The following is a 12,292-nucleotide window of genomic DNA, read 5'->3' on the forward strand; positions in this document are numbered from 1 at the left end:
AGTTTTTGACTCAGTTTCCCCATATGTGAGTGAGAGTTTAAGCGCGGCAATCTCCAGGGGGGGCTGTCAAGCTGACTCAGATCAGTGAGACGAGGAGGGGGCGGGCATGCTAAGAGCATCCTCCGGCGCTGGCCTGCGTCCCCCCAGGTAAGGCAGCACCCATCTCCAAAGTGGTCCTGTCACCACCTTCCTCTTCCCCCCGCACCCACGCCGCGGGGCGGGGACTAGCGCCGCCTCAAATATTTAGGGCAAGGGAGTGTCCCACTTCTGGGGAGGGGTGCCGTTCGGGCTTCTCTCCTCACCGTGGGTGGCGAAAGGCGGGACGGAAAAGCGCCGTCTGGACAGGCGCGCCCCCCTCAGGGATGCAGGGCCGGGCGGGGGACCCGGCGGCGGCCCAGCCCGGAGGAAGGACCTCCACGCCCCGGCCCGGGCCCCCGGGCCCCCGGCCCTAGGCAGCGCCCGAGGCCGGAACAATAGCGCGCGCGGGCGGGGCGGGGGCGGGGGCGGGGCGCTCCTCTGGGCACCGCCCCCGGCCCGCCCCCCGCGCTCGCAGTCCCGCTCGCACACTGGCTCCCACCCGCCGCCCGCCCAGGCACTGCCCGCGGGAGCCGCCGCCGCCGCCGCCGCGCCCGCCATGGACGTCCGCCTGTACCCCTCGGCGCCCGCGGTGGGCGCGCGGCCCGGGGCCGAGCCGGCCGGCCTGGCGCACCTGGACTATTACCACGGCGGCAAGGTAGGCGGGGGCGGGCGGGGGTCCCCGGCGGGCGGGGCCGGAGTCACCTGGCAGCTCGGGACTCAGGCGCTCCCGGGGTCACACGGGGCCGCGCACATCAGCCCCGCCGACGGGCACGGGCGGCTCACATCGATCCCCTCGCGGCCACGCTCACGCCCTGAGTTGTTGGGATCGCGGGCAGAAGTCATCCCGACAGCCACCCGTGCGACGACACAGTGGCCCCTCACTCGCGTCCCCCTGACAGCCTCGCAGTCATTCACAAGCCGTCACAGTGACCCACAGCCACACGCAGGCGGCCAGGCACTGCTTACACGGTCCCGCCGTCCCACGCAAGTCACCCTGACAGTCACTTATACACAACGACACGCAACCACTCACCCGCAAACAGCCTCACCGCCACAGACGAGTCACCCACAGACGCTCCGATGCCCCACACACCGTGACATGCCCCCACCCGCTGTCACACCCAGGCACAACGGGGGACAGTCACACAAAGAAGTCGCCCGACAGTCACACTCTCGCAGCCACAACGCCTCACCCAGGCGCACGCTGTCACACACAGCCACCCCCCTGGACGGTGAGCCTCAGACACAGATCGTCCTGACGGCCACACAGTCACACGCGGTCACACCCAGGGACGGCCACACCTCGGTCATCCACACTCGCGCGTCGAGGTTTAACTTCTCAGCGCCGCAGCACACTAATTGGGCAGTTTACTAATTGGCCGTCACTGCCTGGCGGGGCCTCGGATTCCGAGTAGGCTGCGGCCAATCGAGGCCTGTGTCCTCCCGGGAGCGGTGAGCCGGCGTCCCTCCAGGCTGGGGCTGTAGTGCCGGACACCCTCCCTCCTCCATGTTTCCAGGATCTATCCCCCCACCCCAGCCAGGTCCCAGCTGCGCTGCGCCGGGCGCATTCCCAGTGATGGAGGCTTGCGTGCCTGGAACCCCGAACCCGAGGCGTCAGGTCCCACTGCCGGGTCTGGCCCAGCCTGGATGGGTTGGGTGCCTCTAAGCAGTCCGCGTCCCCTTCGGTCGCCGGAGAGGGAACTTTCAAACTTAGTTAGGAAGCCAGACTGTCCGCGCGTCCGCCAGTCGGTGCGTCGGTCCCGGGCCGGCTGGAGCCAAGCGCGGGTTTTCGTCACTCGGAGCCCGGATTGAACAGCGCGCGTGGGTTTCCCGCAGCCCTGGCGCAGACGCGTGGGCTCCGTGGCGATGCGGGGTGAGTGCGCGTCCAGTGGCTGGATCGGCGCCCCCCAGGGTCTCTCCCCAACCTCGCAGGCTTTTCGTCAGGCCCCTGGTAGTGGGGATGAGGCAGGAGAGAGGCGTCCCGGCGCGGATCCCGGGGCCTCCCGGGCTGGGCCTCCCTGAGTGCGCCCTCAGGCCCCAGGGGAGCGGCTTCTGGCAAAGCCTCCCTGCAGTTCGCCAGGGGCAGCAAGCATCCAGGCCACTAGGGCCTGCGCGATGTGGGGCGGTGGTGGGCGACAAGTGAGGTCTCGCGAAGAGTGGCGGTGGTTCTCTTTTGTCCAGTGACCTGCAAAGTTAGAAGCCGATGAGGGGGGATGGTAGCCTCAGGAGAAGGCCGGGAGCTGCCTCCAGTCTGATGGAGGAAAATAGATTAAAAGTAGCAAGTGGAGTTTTCAGGGAGGAGAAGGTTGGGTGTGGGGGCAGCTGGTCTGTCTTCTGCCCTTGGCTTTGTTATTTTTCAAAATGTGAAGTTGGCGAGGTAGGTACCAGCCTCTGGTTTGCGGGTGTGGGTGGGCTGGGCATTTGTGCCTCAAAGTCTGAGTGGGTGGGGGTTTAGCCTGGAGCGCTCCGTTTGAGGGTGGTGTTTCTATAAATCTCGCCAGGGTGGGGCTGTCCCAAATAGGGGCCTTTGGAGGCAGGACTCAGCCGAGGCCCCTGCTTTATTCTGATGCTCTGTAAACCTCTGACTCAGCACCAGAACCTGTGCGAATCTCGCCGGGAAGGGCCCGTCAGGGAGGGAATGAGAAGCCGGCGATTCTGGTTTCTTTCTGTGTGGGATGTAGGACCCCTGGCCCATAGCTGAGGATGTGTCCAGAGTGGGGCGGGGCAGGGATGGGGGTGGGGATGCAGCTGAGCCACTTGATAGGTGAAAGGAAGGTCTGACTTTGCACTTGGATGTGAAATCTGCTACTCAGTCCTTCAGGCTAGAGCAGGGTGAGGCGGGAGGGGAGAGGTCACTGTATTCATTTAGGGGCTAGAGGTCTTTTGGTAAGGGATTCCCAAGTGGGCATGGCCTTAGTGGTGGTGGTTGGGGGGTAGGGCCAGGCTGTGATCAGGAACTCCCCTTTTCTGGCTCAAGAAGTGGATGGGGAGGGGTTGGGGAGGGAAATGCCCAAGCTCCACCTTTACACTAGTCACTATCAAAGCTGGAGGGGAAACAGGCTCAGGGTGCAGTAGTGACCACACTTGGGGCCTGTAGGCCTGGCTGAATCCAGACATTGTGGGGTGGACACACCCACACATGGGGGGCTCTGTCCGCAGACAAGAGGCTCGTTGCACAGGGAGCCAGGCTTTATATACATAAGGGCAAGCATTTGCCCAAGTGATGCCCGACACCTATGGGGCAGTTGACCTGGAAGGGCTCTTGGCGACCGTCCCCTTGGCGACCATCCCCTTGGCGACTGTCCCCTTAGCGATCCTCTACACAGAGATTCCCAGCCTCTTTAAACCAAAGTCACGAACATTGGTTGTTCTTTTGGTATCTTTTGTTTGAGAAAATGCACACTAATGAAAAGCTGTTATGGTTTTATTTTTGCTTTGAAATAGATGTGTATTTTATTAAACACAATATTAGCATGCATTAGAAAAATAGCTTAACAGGTATGAAGAAGACTCATTACTATTTAATGTAATAAAGGTGCTTTTTGAGCATAGGGATTTGTGGCCCCATGGCTCCCAGGATCTGTGGCTCCATGCTGGGAACCATTGGTCTCCTCCTTCTTTGCATTACAGAAGGGGAAACTGAGTCACAGAGGAGTGTAACTCACAGATTACACAGCAAGTAAGGAACAAAGATGAGGCCTGAGCCCAGGTTTGACTCCCAGCAGGACACTTGTTTGGCTTTTTTGCAAGTCTCTGTCATGGTTCAGGGGTTTAGAGCCTGTAACATCTTTCTTAGGGTAACTATGAACTCCTGGTTCAGATTTTGGCAAGGCATCTTACCAGGCTGGGGGACAGCTGGGGGATCCCTGCTCAACTATGGCAGACTAGTGTAAACTAGCCATCAGAACTGGGCAAGCCTGGGTTCAAATGTCCATTTGTTGCTTAGTGACCTAGGGCAAATGATTTTTAGCTCATTTTTTACTGAGATGTGATTTACATACAATAACATGAAGATTTTAAGTGTACAGTTCCATGAGTTTTGATAAATATTAACACTCATGTAACCAGCATCCCAGTCCAGATAGAGAACATTTCCGTCATCCCAGGAAGTTCCCTCACATCCCTTTATAGACAGCACGCCTTATCCCCACCTCCAGAGGCAACTACTTACCTGATTTCTGTTACCAATGCTTTCTTTAAGTTCAATTTAGGTATATTAACCATGCTTAAGTTCTAGAACTTGATATGCAGCATAAACATTTGTGTGTCTGTCTTCTTTTTGCTCAATGTAATGTCTTCAACATTCATCCACGATGTTGTATATATCCATAGTTTGTTCCATTTAATTGCTGAGTAATATTATATTGTATAAATATAATACAATTGGTTTATCCATTCACCTGCAGGTGGACATTTGGGTTTGTTTCCAAGTTGGAGCTATTATAAGTAAAGCTACTGTGAACATTCTTATACAAGTCTTTTTGTGGGCGGGGAAAATCATTTAATATCTCTGAGTCTTGGTGTTCTCTCAAAGACAACATTGCCTACCTCTGAGTTTCAGGACGGTTAAGTGAGGTGATACAGGTTAGGACAGTTATTGGCACATACCAGCTACTAATTAGATAACAACAATATCAACCATCTGGGGCCCATTCCAGGAAGAGGCTTAGCATCTCCGTTCCAGCATCCTTCGTCCCTGGACTGAAGGGATGAAGGCCTTCATCAAGGCCAACCTGGGTACCACCTTCCCCATGTGGTGCTTCACAGCCAGCAAACTTCTCTTTCTTTCCAGGCTTCCCCAAGAACTGATACTGCATAGGATGTGGCATGTTCTGCCATCCATCATTCTACCAAAAATATTTATTGAGCACTTCTTGGTGCTAGGCACTGTGCACAGCAACTGATGCTGCAGCAGTGAACAAAAGTCACTCAAATCACTGCCCTCTGGAGCTTATTTATCAGTGTGGGAAGTCATAAATATATGGGTGAAATATATGGTATCATGATTGATGGGAATATGACTTTTGGAGAAAAATGGAACAGGAAAGAGAGTTGGGAGTCCCAAGGCCTGGGGCTGGTTTGTGATTGTTAAATAGGGAAGTTGAGGAAGGCCTTGTGGTCTAGAATAGTGTTTCTCAAATCTATGTACACATGAAGAATCAGCTGGCAAGATTTTTTTTAAATTTTATTTTAAGTTCCAGGATACATGTGCAGGATGTGTATATTTGTTACATAGGTAAACGTCTGCCATGGTGGTTTGCTACACCTATGAACCCATCACCTAGGAGTTAAGCCCCGCATGCATTAGCTATTTATCCTGATGCTCTCACTCCCTCCCTCCCCCCGGCACTTGACAGGCCCCGGTGTGTGTTGTTCCCCTCCCTGTGTCCATGTGTTCTCATTGTTCAGCTCCCACTTATAAGTGAGAACATGCGGTGTTTGGTTTTCTGTTCCTATGTTAATTTGCTGAGGATAATGGCTTCCAGCTCCATCCATGCCACTGCAAAGGACATGATCTTGTTCCTTTTTATGGCTGCATAGTATTCCATGGTGTATGTGTACCACATTCTCTTTATCCAGGTTAACACTGATGGACATTTGGGTTGATTCCGTGTCTTTTGTCTGGCGAGATTGTAAAAACAGATTCTTGGGCTCCACCCCCAGAGATTGGATTCAGTTGGTCTGGCATGGGGTCCTAGGAATTTGCATGTCTAATGAGCTACCCAGGTGTTGTTACTGCTGATCCAAGGACCACACTTTGTGTAGCAGTTGTTTGGTTGTTTGTGTACAGGCTTTTGTGGGCTCCTGGCAGGCAGGAATTCTGCCCAGCACCTGGCATCGTGCCTGACTCATAATTGCTCAGTAAATATGTGCTGGTGGGTGAAGGATTCAACTTCCCACCCACACAGCTCTGGGCACAGCATCTTGTAAGGATGAGATCTGGACAAGCTTGGTTAATGAATGATTGAGGACTCTTTTTGACAAAAATTCATGAAGTGGGGTTAAACTATGGACTTGATCTGGACTTGACCTATGTGAGGCCTGCCCGGCATACTTGGTGGGTGAGATTCCCACAGCTCCTTTCTTCAGGGGCACAGGTGGCTGCTAATGGGTCCCATGGAAGGTACCCTGGGATGGGTGGGCTTAGAGCTGAGATGGCTGGTCCCAGGGAACGCTAGATGGATGTCTGCATCTCTGCTAGGAAGCTCTCATTTACTTTCCATCTAAACATGCTCCCTATAGCTCCTCCCCCAACCTGTGCTGGAGGCTCCTCCAGGAAGGACCCCAGGATGTTTGCATGGCAGGACCAGCAGCCCAAGCCTGGCACTGCTGCCCCCGATCTGCTGGGTGACCTTGAGCCTGTCAGCACCCTTCTTTGGGCCTCTGTTTCCCTGTGTGCAAAGGGAAGGCAAACCGGTGACCATCAGCCTAGAGGGATGGTGTGGGGGTGGAAATATAATGAAATAAAGGCTGGGAATGTCATTTCTAACTGTGGAGGGTGCACTGGGAGGGAATGCTGGTGGGAATGGTGCTTTTTGAGGAGATGGGCCTGCTATCCTTCAGAGGACAGGAACCACTGTGTCTGCCTTTACTTTTGTATTCCCAGCGCTAGCCTGACACATAGATGCTCAGCAAATATTTGCTGAATGAATGAATGAATCTAGGGCTTGGCAGTTGTAACCTGTGGCTTGAGGAACTTAGCATCTGTTTGGCTGTTGTCATCTGAAGACTTTGTGGGGCACAAGGAGCCAGGGCAGGACCCCGCAGAGGCACAGAGTCTTTGGCGGACCTTCCATTCCTAGAGGAGCTTCCCCAAGTGGGCTCGGAGGACAGAGCCTGGCACACAGAGCAGCCTGTAGGCGGGAAGAGGAGCTGAGCCTGCATGAAGGACAAGGTCCTGTGCCTCCCCCTTGGTCCAGCAGTCCCCCTGCTGTGTGGCTCCTTGCCCCATGTGATTCTGTAGGGCAATCTATTTTGCTTCTCTGATTTCCTAGAGTTGGTCTCAGGATATGAAGGCATCATGGATTCTGGAACCTGGCAGACTTGGGTTTGAACACTGCCTTCACCACCATCAGGGCAGGCAAGTTATTTAACCTCCCTGGACTCAGTCTCCTCATCTGTAAAATGGGGACATTGACATCTCCCCTTTGGAGCTTGAGGGTTGGAGACCATGTATGTGTAGCACTTGGCCCCAGCAGGAAATGCTTTCATTTTCATCCACAAAGAGCAGCCCAACTGAAAGTTAAAATGCGAGAGGAACTTGCTTTTCTGTACCAGCTGCTGGAGGATGCTCCACAGCTGCCCCGCCATGTTCTTCTTCTTCTTCTTTTTTTTTTTCTAGAGACACAGTCTTGCTCTCTTGCCCAGGATGGAGTGCAGTGGTACAATCATAGCTCAGTGTAGCCTCAAACTCCTGGGCTCAAATGATCCTTCTGCTTTGGCCTCTCGAAGCGCTGGGACTGCAGGCATGAGCCACCACTTCTGGCCCTGGGCTGCTGGCAGTCCCAACGCTGGATGCTTCCATGTCTTGATCCCTAGACCTGATTTTCCTGAGCCTCTGGGTTGAAGGAGCCTCTTATTGGAGTGTCCAGGATTATGAATTGGGAGAGAGTTGCTCATTTCCTCCACCTTCTGTTACCTTCTTGAATCTGTGCAGCAGAGAAAGTGGGTTTTGGAGGCAGAGAAATTGGTTCAAATCACAGCTGCCCAGTCCACTGGCTTGGGCAGGTGACCTCATGCACATCACTTAGATGTTCAGGTCTCAGTTTTCTTATCTGTACAAGGGGACAGAAATGCCTGCCTTCTATTGTTGCTGCAAAGATCAGATTAAAGTAATAGGTATGGAAATTCTGTCTAATCTAGAATGATGTTTCCCAGCCTCGGCGCTATTGACATTTTGGACCTAATAACATTGTTGTGGGAGTTGCTGCATGCATTGCGGAATGTTTAGTCCTATCCCTGGCCCCTACCTAGTAGATGCCAAGAGCATCACCCTGCCCCCAGTCGTGACAACAAAAATGTCTCCAGACTTTGCCCCTGGTTGAGAACCAGTGATGTGGGAAGAAAGTTTAGCGCAGGTAAACTAGAAGATGGTGGTGAAGCGAATTGCAGCACCACAGCAGGCACCGTGCTTTCTGGCCAGGGCTTCAGTCCACTGTCTCCCTTCAGTAATCCTGTATCCACAGGGTTGACAGTCATCTTATTTACATGGATTCAAACCTACAGGATGATTTTTCAGCATGGTTTGGGAGCAACAGTAAAAACATATGGTAAGTGATTATTAACCTAATGAGTTGTGGTAAATTGTAATTTTATATCTTAATGAAATGATGTTGTATGACACAGGATAATACATTTTGATCAATTTCCCTGATATTTAAAACTTGCTGCCGTACAGTTGCTAATTCTGGTGCCTGCCAGGATGAGCAACCTGATTGTGGTTTTTCAATATTTAATGGCCTGTTTACTGCTGGGTTTCTCAGATGTTCAACAGGTTTTTATTGAGTGCCTACTGGGTGCTGGGGATTCAGCCCTGTCCTGGAGGCTCAGTAACTCCAGAGGAAAGTTTTATTTACTGGGTGAATGGCTATGTGGATTTGTAATCAATTGGCTTAAAATGCAGAGTAATAATTAAATATAAAATTGGCTGAGCAGTGCCAATGCCGGGAGTGTGGGAAGGTTTCACAATGGCAGTCTTACAGGAATGCCAGGTGGGCTGCCTGGGGGCATGTAGAGTGGTGGGGGGTGTTCCAGGCAGAGGGAGCAGCCATTGTAGGGGTGCTTTGGGGATACTGTCAGCCTAAGGAGGGGAAACCTGCCTGCGTGGGAGTTGGGACACCAGCAGAGATGGTTATGAAGAGCCTTGCACCCCAGCCTGTGGGGCTTTAAGTAGAGGACTGTGCCTGGAACCAGGGGTACGGTGCACAAGTATGGAATGCATCACATTGCTGGATTCTGACCATCCTCAACGACTGTCTCTTGGTCTTCTGCTGATGGGAAAGTCTAATGACTTGCATTTGATTTCCCCCAGTAGCCCATGATAGATACTCTGCTTCTCAAACTTTAGCCCACCAGAATCACCTGGAGCACAGTTAAAACAGACTGCTGTGTTCCACTCCCAGAAGTTCTGACTCAGCAGGCCTGGGGAGGAGCTGAAAGTTAGCACTACTAGCAAGTCGATGGTGCTGATGGTGCCAGTCTGGGATCCACACTTAGAGAACCTCTGGTCTAGACTAGAACGTGGCAGGATTGTCCTGCCTTAACTGAGGACAGTAGAGATGTATTGCTGGCCTGGGGCATGGAGCCCCGGTGTGGACATGGTTAGGTGTCCTTCTCAAGCCCCTTGGTGGGTTGTGGGGAGAGTCTTCTTCACCATGGGGAAAGTCTCACATTGGGTTGCCTGGAAAAGGACTCTGAGATGGAGAGTTGCTCGTGGAAGGTTTATGTGGGGAAGTTCTCTGCGGTGAGGTGGGCGGAAGGGGTGCACCTGCAGGGGACACAGGAGGAAACGTGCTTGGGCCGGGGAGAAGCTGGCCTGGCCTGACCTGTGGTTCTGAAGAACGCCATCCCACAGGGAGCTGTGGCGCTAAGGTGGCTCTTTAGTGTTGCCCCAGATGGAGGTGAGGGGACTGCCCAAGCCTTTGATTTCTGCATCATCTGGTCATTTCAGCATAAGTGAGAGGCCTAAAAATGAACAGCAGGCAGTTCCCTTGGGTGAAGGAGTTCACTGCAGTAGAGGGCAGTCCCATTGAAGGGCGAGCTGCAAGCCCAGCCGCTGATATTCCTGAGGTTGGGGGATGAGCATATGGAAGAGGGCTGGAGAGTACCACTGTGACCATCTCAGGGAGATTTCCCAGGAAATCAAGGGCCAGCATGTGGATGACTTTTAGTGATGGTCACTCACTTGCTCAAGGTTCTTCTTTGTCTCATGAAGTGAGAGAGATGTGTCATCTGCTCTGCGTAGGAAAGGCAGGATAGTTACTTTTTGGGTCCAAGGGAAGACAAATGGTAATTAATGGAGTTTTTAGGGGCTCAAAGATGCTCTTAGATGCTCCAGGGTGGGATTCCAGAGTCCTTGCACTGAGCTGTCACATATCTTCCTGTGTGTTAGGGAGGACTCCAGATGGGTCTCCAAGGAGCTTCTGGGCCATGCTTAAGGAGGTCACCTCTGGGCAAGAGCCAGGGCTTTCTCTTTGGGCTGGAGTCCTGTCTAGTTCAACAAGAGGCCATCTGCCCTGCCCAGCCTCAATGCAGGTCAGTGTTTCTGGCTTTGCCTTTCACCATCACTGAGCTCCCAGGAAGCTCAGAGGCAAAGGAGGGGTCACCTGTAGCCATAACATAGGCTGCTGTGGTGTGGCTACTGTTCATTAACTCACTCCCAACTGCACCTCATTTTTCTACCATTTTCCTCTTTATCTTGAGTCCTGCCACTGTTTTATTTTTTAAAAATTGATTTTGCTCTTTGTAAGACACACAGAAGTATTTTAGAAGAGGAAAGACACAAGTGAAGTCCCTCTCACTCTCTGTCCCTCTCCCTTCTCCACACACAGCCCTGTGTCCCGGGGTGTCCACTGAAAAGGGAGTGGAGGGTGTACTTCCCATCAAACCCTTTCTTCAGTTCCTTACTTTTAATACATTCGTTGTTTTTATTTCTGGAATCATTTTTTTATTTTCCCAGAATTCTGAGTTTCTTGATTGATCTCATATCATCGTGGTCTATTCTTCTTTTATGGATATGTGACTATCTTGAATCTCTTTGAAGATGGTAATTCGATTTTTAAAAAAGTGGTCTTTTGTTTCCTGCATTTAACTCTGTTTTATTGGTGATTCTTCTGTTCACTTTTAGGCCTCTCTTTTATGCTGATATTTTCTACAAATGCCTGGTGATTCTCGGTTGACATTTAAATTTGTAAATGGGAGGGGGGCATCTAGATCTGTTCTGTGGTTGTGAGTTTCCTCAACATGGGTGAAAGCCGTGACTGCGTGGGTGGGCAGGGTGGATGTTGAGTAGAAACGCTCTGTGTGTGGTGTGTGAGTGCAGACTCTATTGCGGTGTGGGATGAGCCTACGAAGTCCTTGGGGGCCTCTTTGTCCCTCGGGTAGGCCAGCAGTTACCCCCAGGGCGCTGGTGCACTTTTTCCAGCCTTGTGCTCACCCGCAGGAGGGAGTCTCCCAGGCAGATTTCTCATTTCAATTAGAGAATTCTTCTGGTTGGCATTAGCCTGGGGGCAAAACCAACAAACAGCTTCTCCCAGGGCTTTGGACGGGCACAGGGGTCCCAGCGCAGGCTTCCTCTCTCTGGGAATGTTCTGGGGTTCAGTTAGGTGTTGGGTGCCGGTTCCTTAGTGCTCACAGGCTTCGCTGTCAGTCTGTTTCTTTGACTTCTTAGTTTCTAGCAGTCTCATAACGTTTCTGATCCCAGCCTTTTCCTATTTTCTTATGTGCCTTAAGTTTTCCTAAGAACTATGCTGGGCACATTTGTCCCCATTTTTTTAGGTGAGAAGACTGAGGTCCAGATGAATCAAGTAACAGAAGGGTGGCAGAGGGGGCTGTTAGGCAGAGCTGGAATTTGGCCCGAGCTTGCTCTGCAGCTGTCAGGGTGCCAGGGGGAGCTCACTTCCTCCTGCTGCAGGGGTGGAAGAGTGTATCACTGGCTCCTTGTCCTAGAGTGCTTTTTACATTACAGCTAATTAAAATGTGCTTATTTCGAAGCTGGGCCTGATTTGCAGGAATGATTTAGAAACTTGTCGGAAATGAATCGACTCAGTAGTAGTATAACCCAGGGTCAATGCCACGCATATATTTTATTGTTTCATCATGCTGTGTTTTGGCTTGAACTGAACTTTATGATGTGGAAGATGGACCCTGGGCCCTTTATGTCTCATTTATTCTGCAAATATTTCCTGTTTACATTATTTAGGAAGGTCTCCCACCCCCACTCCCATGCTTTCTCTGTTCTCTATGTCCACCTGAGATGGAAGTTCATTTTTATGCAAATCCAGATGTTGGATCCAAATGTGACTTTGAGTTTGATGGAAGTGCCTGGGTTCGTATCCTGACACTTATAAGCTGTATGACTTTGGACCTGTCACTTAGCCTCTCTGAGTCGTGGTTTCCTCACATAATCACAATTGCATCTCAGGTTGGTGGTTAGGTCTGTGGGAGAGCAAGTAAGTCTTCCCCTCCCTCATTTCTTCCTCCAGGCACTGTTTAG

General features: G+C 52.1%; 1 protein-coding gene across 6 annotated transcripts in view, besides 10 other annotated features; it reads left to right on the top strand.

Moving 5' to 3' along the window:
- Positions 246–365: a silencer, noted in NCBI's record as "silent region_12931". NCBI's record gives its function as "represses an Ori minimal core promoter by ATAC-STARR-seq in GM12878 lymphoblastoid cells {active_cell/tissue: GM12878}" and the evidence as "EXISTENCE:reporter gene assay evidence [ECO:0000049][PMID:35858748]".
- Positions 246–1,049: a biological region, named in NCBI's record as "H3K27ac-H3K4me1 hESC enhancer GRCh37_chr20:42543229-42543946".
- Positions 332–1,049: an enhancer, noted in NCBI's record as "H3K27ac-H3K4me1 hESC enhancer chr20:42543229-42543946 (GRCh37/hg19 assembly coordinates)". NCBI's record gives its function as "activates a minimal SCP1, AML or CMV promoter by ChIP-STARR-seq in naive H9 embryonic stem cells {active_cell/tissue: H9 hESC(naive)}" and the evidence as "EXISTENCE:reporter gene assay evidence [ECO:0000049][PMID:30033119]".
- Positions 466–565: a silencer, noted in NCBI's record as "silent region_12932". NCBI's record gives its function as "represses an Ori minimal core promoter by ATAC-STARR-seq in GM12878 lymphoblastoid cells {active_cell/tissue: GM12878}" and the evidence as "EXISTENCE:reporter gene assay evidence [ECO:0000049][PMID:35858748]".
- Positions 586–695: a silencer, noted in NCBI's record as "silent region_12933". NCBI's record gives its function as "represses an Ori minimal core promoter by ATAC-STARR-seq in GM12878 lymphoblastoid cells {active_cell/tissue: GM12878}" and the evidence as "EXISTENCE:reporter gene assay evidence [ECO:0000049][PMID:35858748]".
- The window catches only part of TOX2 (TOX high mobility group box family member 2), a 154,765-nt gene continuing 143,067 nt past the window's right edge, over positions 595–12,292 (top strand). For 4 of the 6 annotated variants that reach the window (XM_047440561.1, NM_001098797.2, XM_047440565.1 and 1 more), the window contains exon 1: positions 595–733. Coding sequence is in view for 3 of the 6 variants with exons in the window: in NM_001098797.2 (NP_001092267.1) it covers positions 635–733 (99 nt within the window). In the remaining 3 variants the exon portion in view is untranslated. Of the gene's footprint in view, positions 734–1,872; positions 1,952–12,292 lie in introns of those variants that run through there. The other 2 variants (NM_032883.3, NM_001098796.2) reach the window with 1 other exon arrangement.
- Positions 746–835: a silencer, noted in NCBI's record as "silent region_12934". NCBI's record gives its function as "represses an Ori minimal core promoter by ATAC-STARR-seq in GM12878 lymphoblastoid cells {active_cell/tissue: GM12878}" and the evidence as "EXISTENCE:reporter gene assay evidence [ECO:0000049][PMID:35858748]".
- Positions 1,050–1,767: an enhancer, noted in NCBI's record as "H3K27ac-H3K4me1 hESC enhancer chr20:42543947-42544664 (GRCh37/hg19 assembly coordinates)". NCBI's record gives its function as "activates a minimal SCP1, AML or CMV promoter by ChIP-STARR-seq in naive and primed H9 embryonic stem cells {active_cell/tissue: H9 hESC(naive and primed)}" and the evidence as "EXISTENCE:reporter gene assay evidence [ECO:0000049][PMID:30033119]".
- Positions 1,906–1,965: a silencer, noted in NCBI's record as "silent region_12935". NCBI's record gives its function as "represses an Ori minimal core promoter by ATAC-STARR-seq in GM12878 lymphoblastoid cells {active_cell/tissue: GM12878}" and the evidence as "EXISTENCE:reporter gene assay evidence [ECO:0000049][PMID:35858748]".
- Positions 2,026–2,075: a silencer, noted in NCBI's record as "silent region_12936". NCBI's record gives its function as "represses an Ori minimal core promoter by ATAC-STARR-seq in GM12878 lymphoblastoid cells {active_cell/tissue: GM12878}" and the evidence as "EXISTENCE:reporter gene assay evidence [ECO:0000049][PMID:35858748]".
- Positions 3,146–3,205: an enhancer, noted in NCBI's record as "active region_17916". NCBI's record gives its function as "activates an Ori minimal core promoter by ATAC-STARR-seq in GM12878 lymphoblastoid cells {active_cell/tissue: GM12878}" and the evidence as "EXISTENCE:reporter gene assay evidence [ECO:0000049][PMID:35858748]".

This window comes from Homo sapiens, chromosome 20, assembly GCF_000001405.40.
Source record: "Homo sapiens chromosome 20, GRCh38.p14 Primary Assembly".
Taxonomy (NCBI): domain Eukaryota; kingdom Metazoa; phylum Chordata; class Mammalia; order Primates; family Hominidae; genus Homo; species Homo sapiens.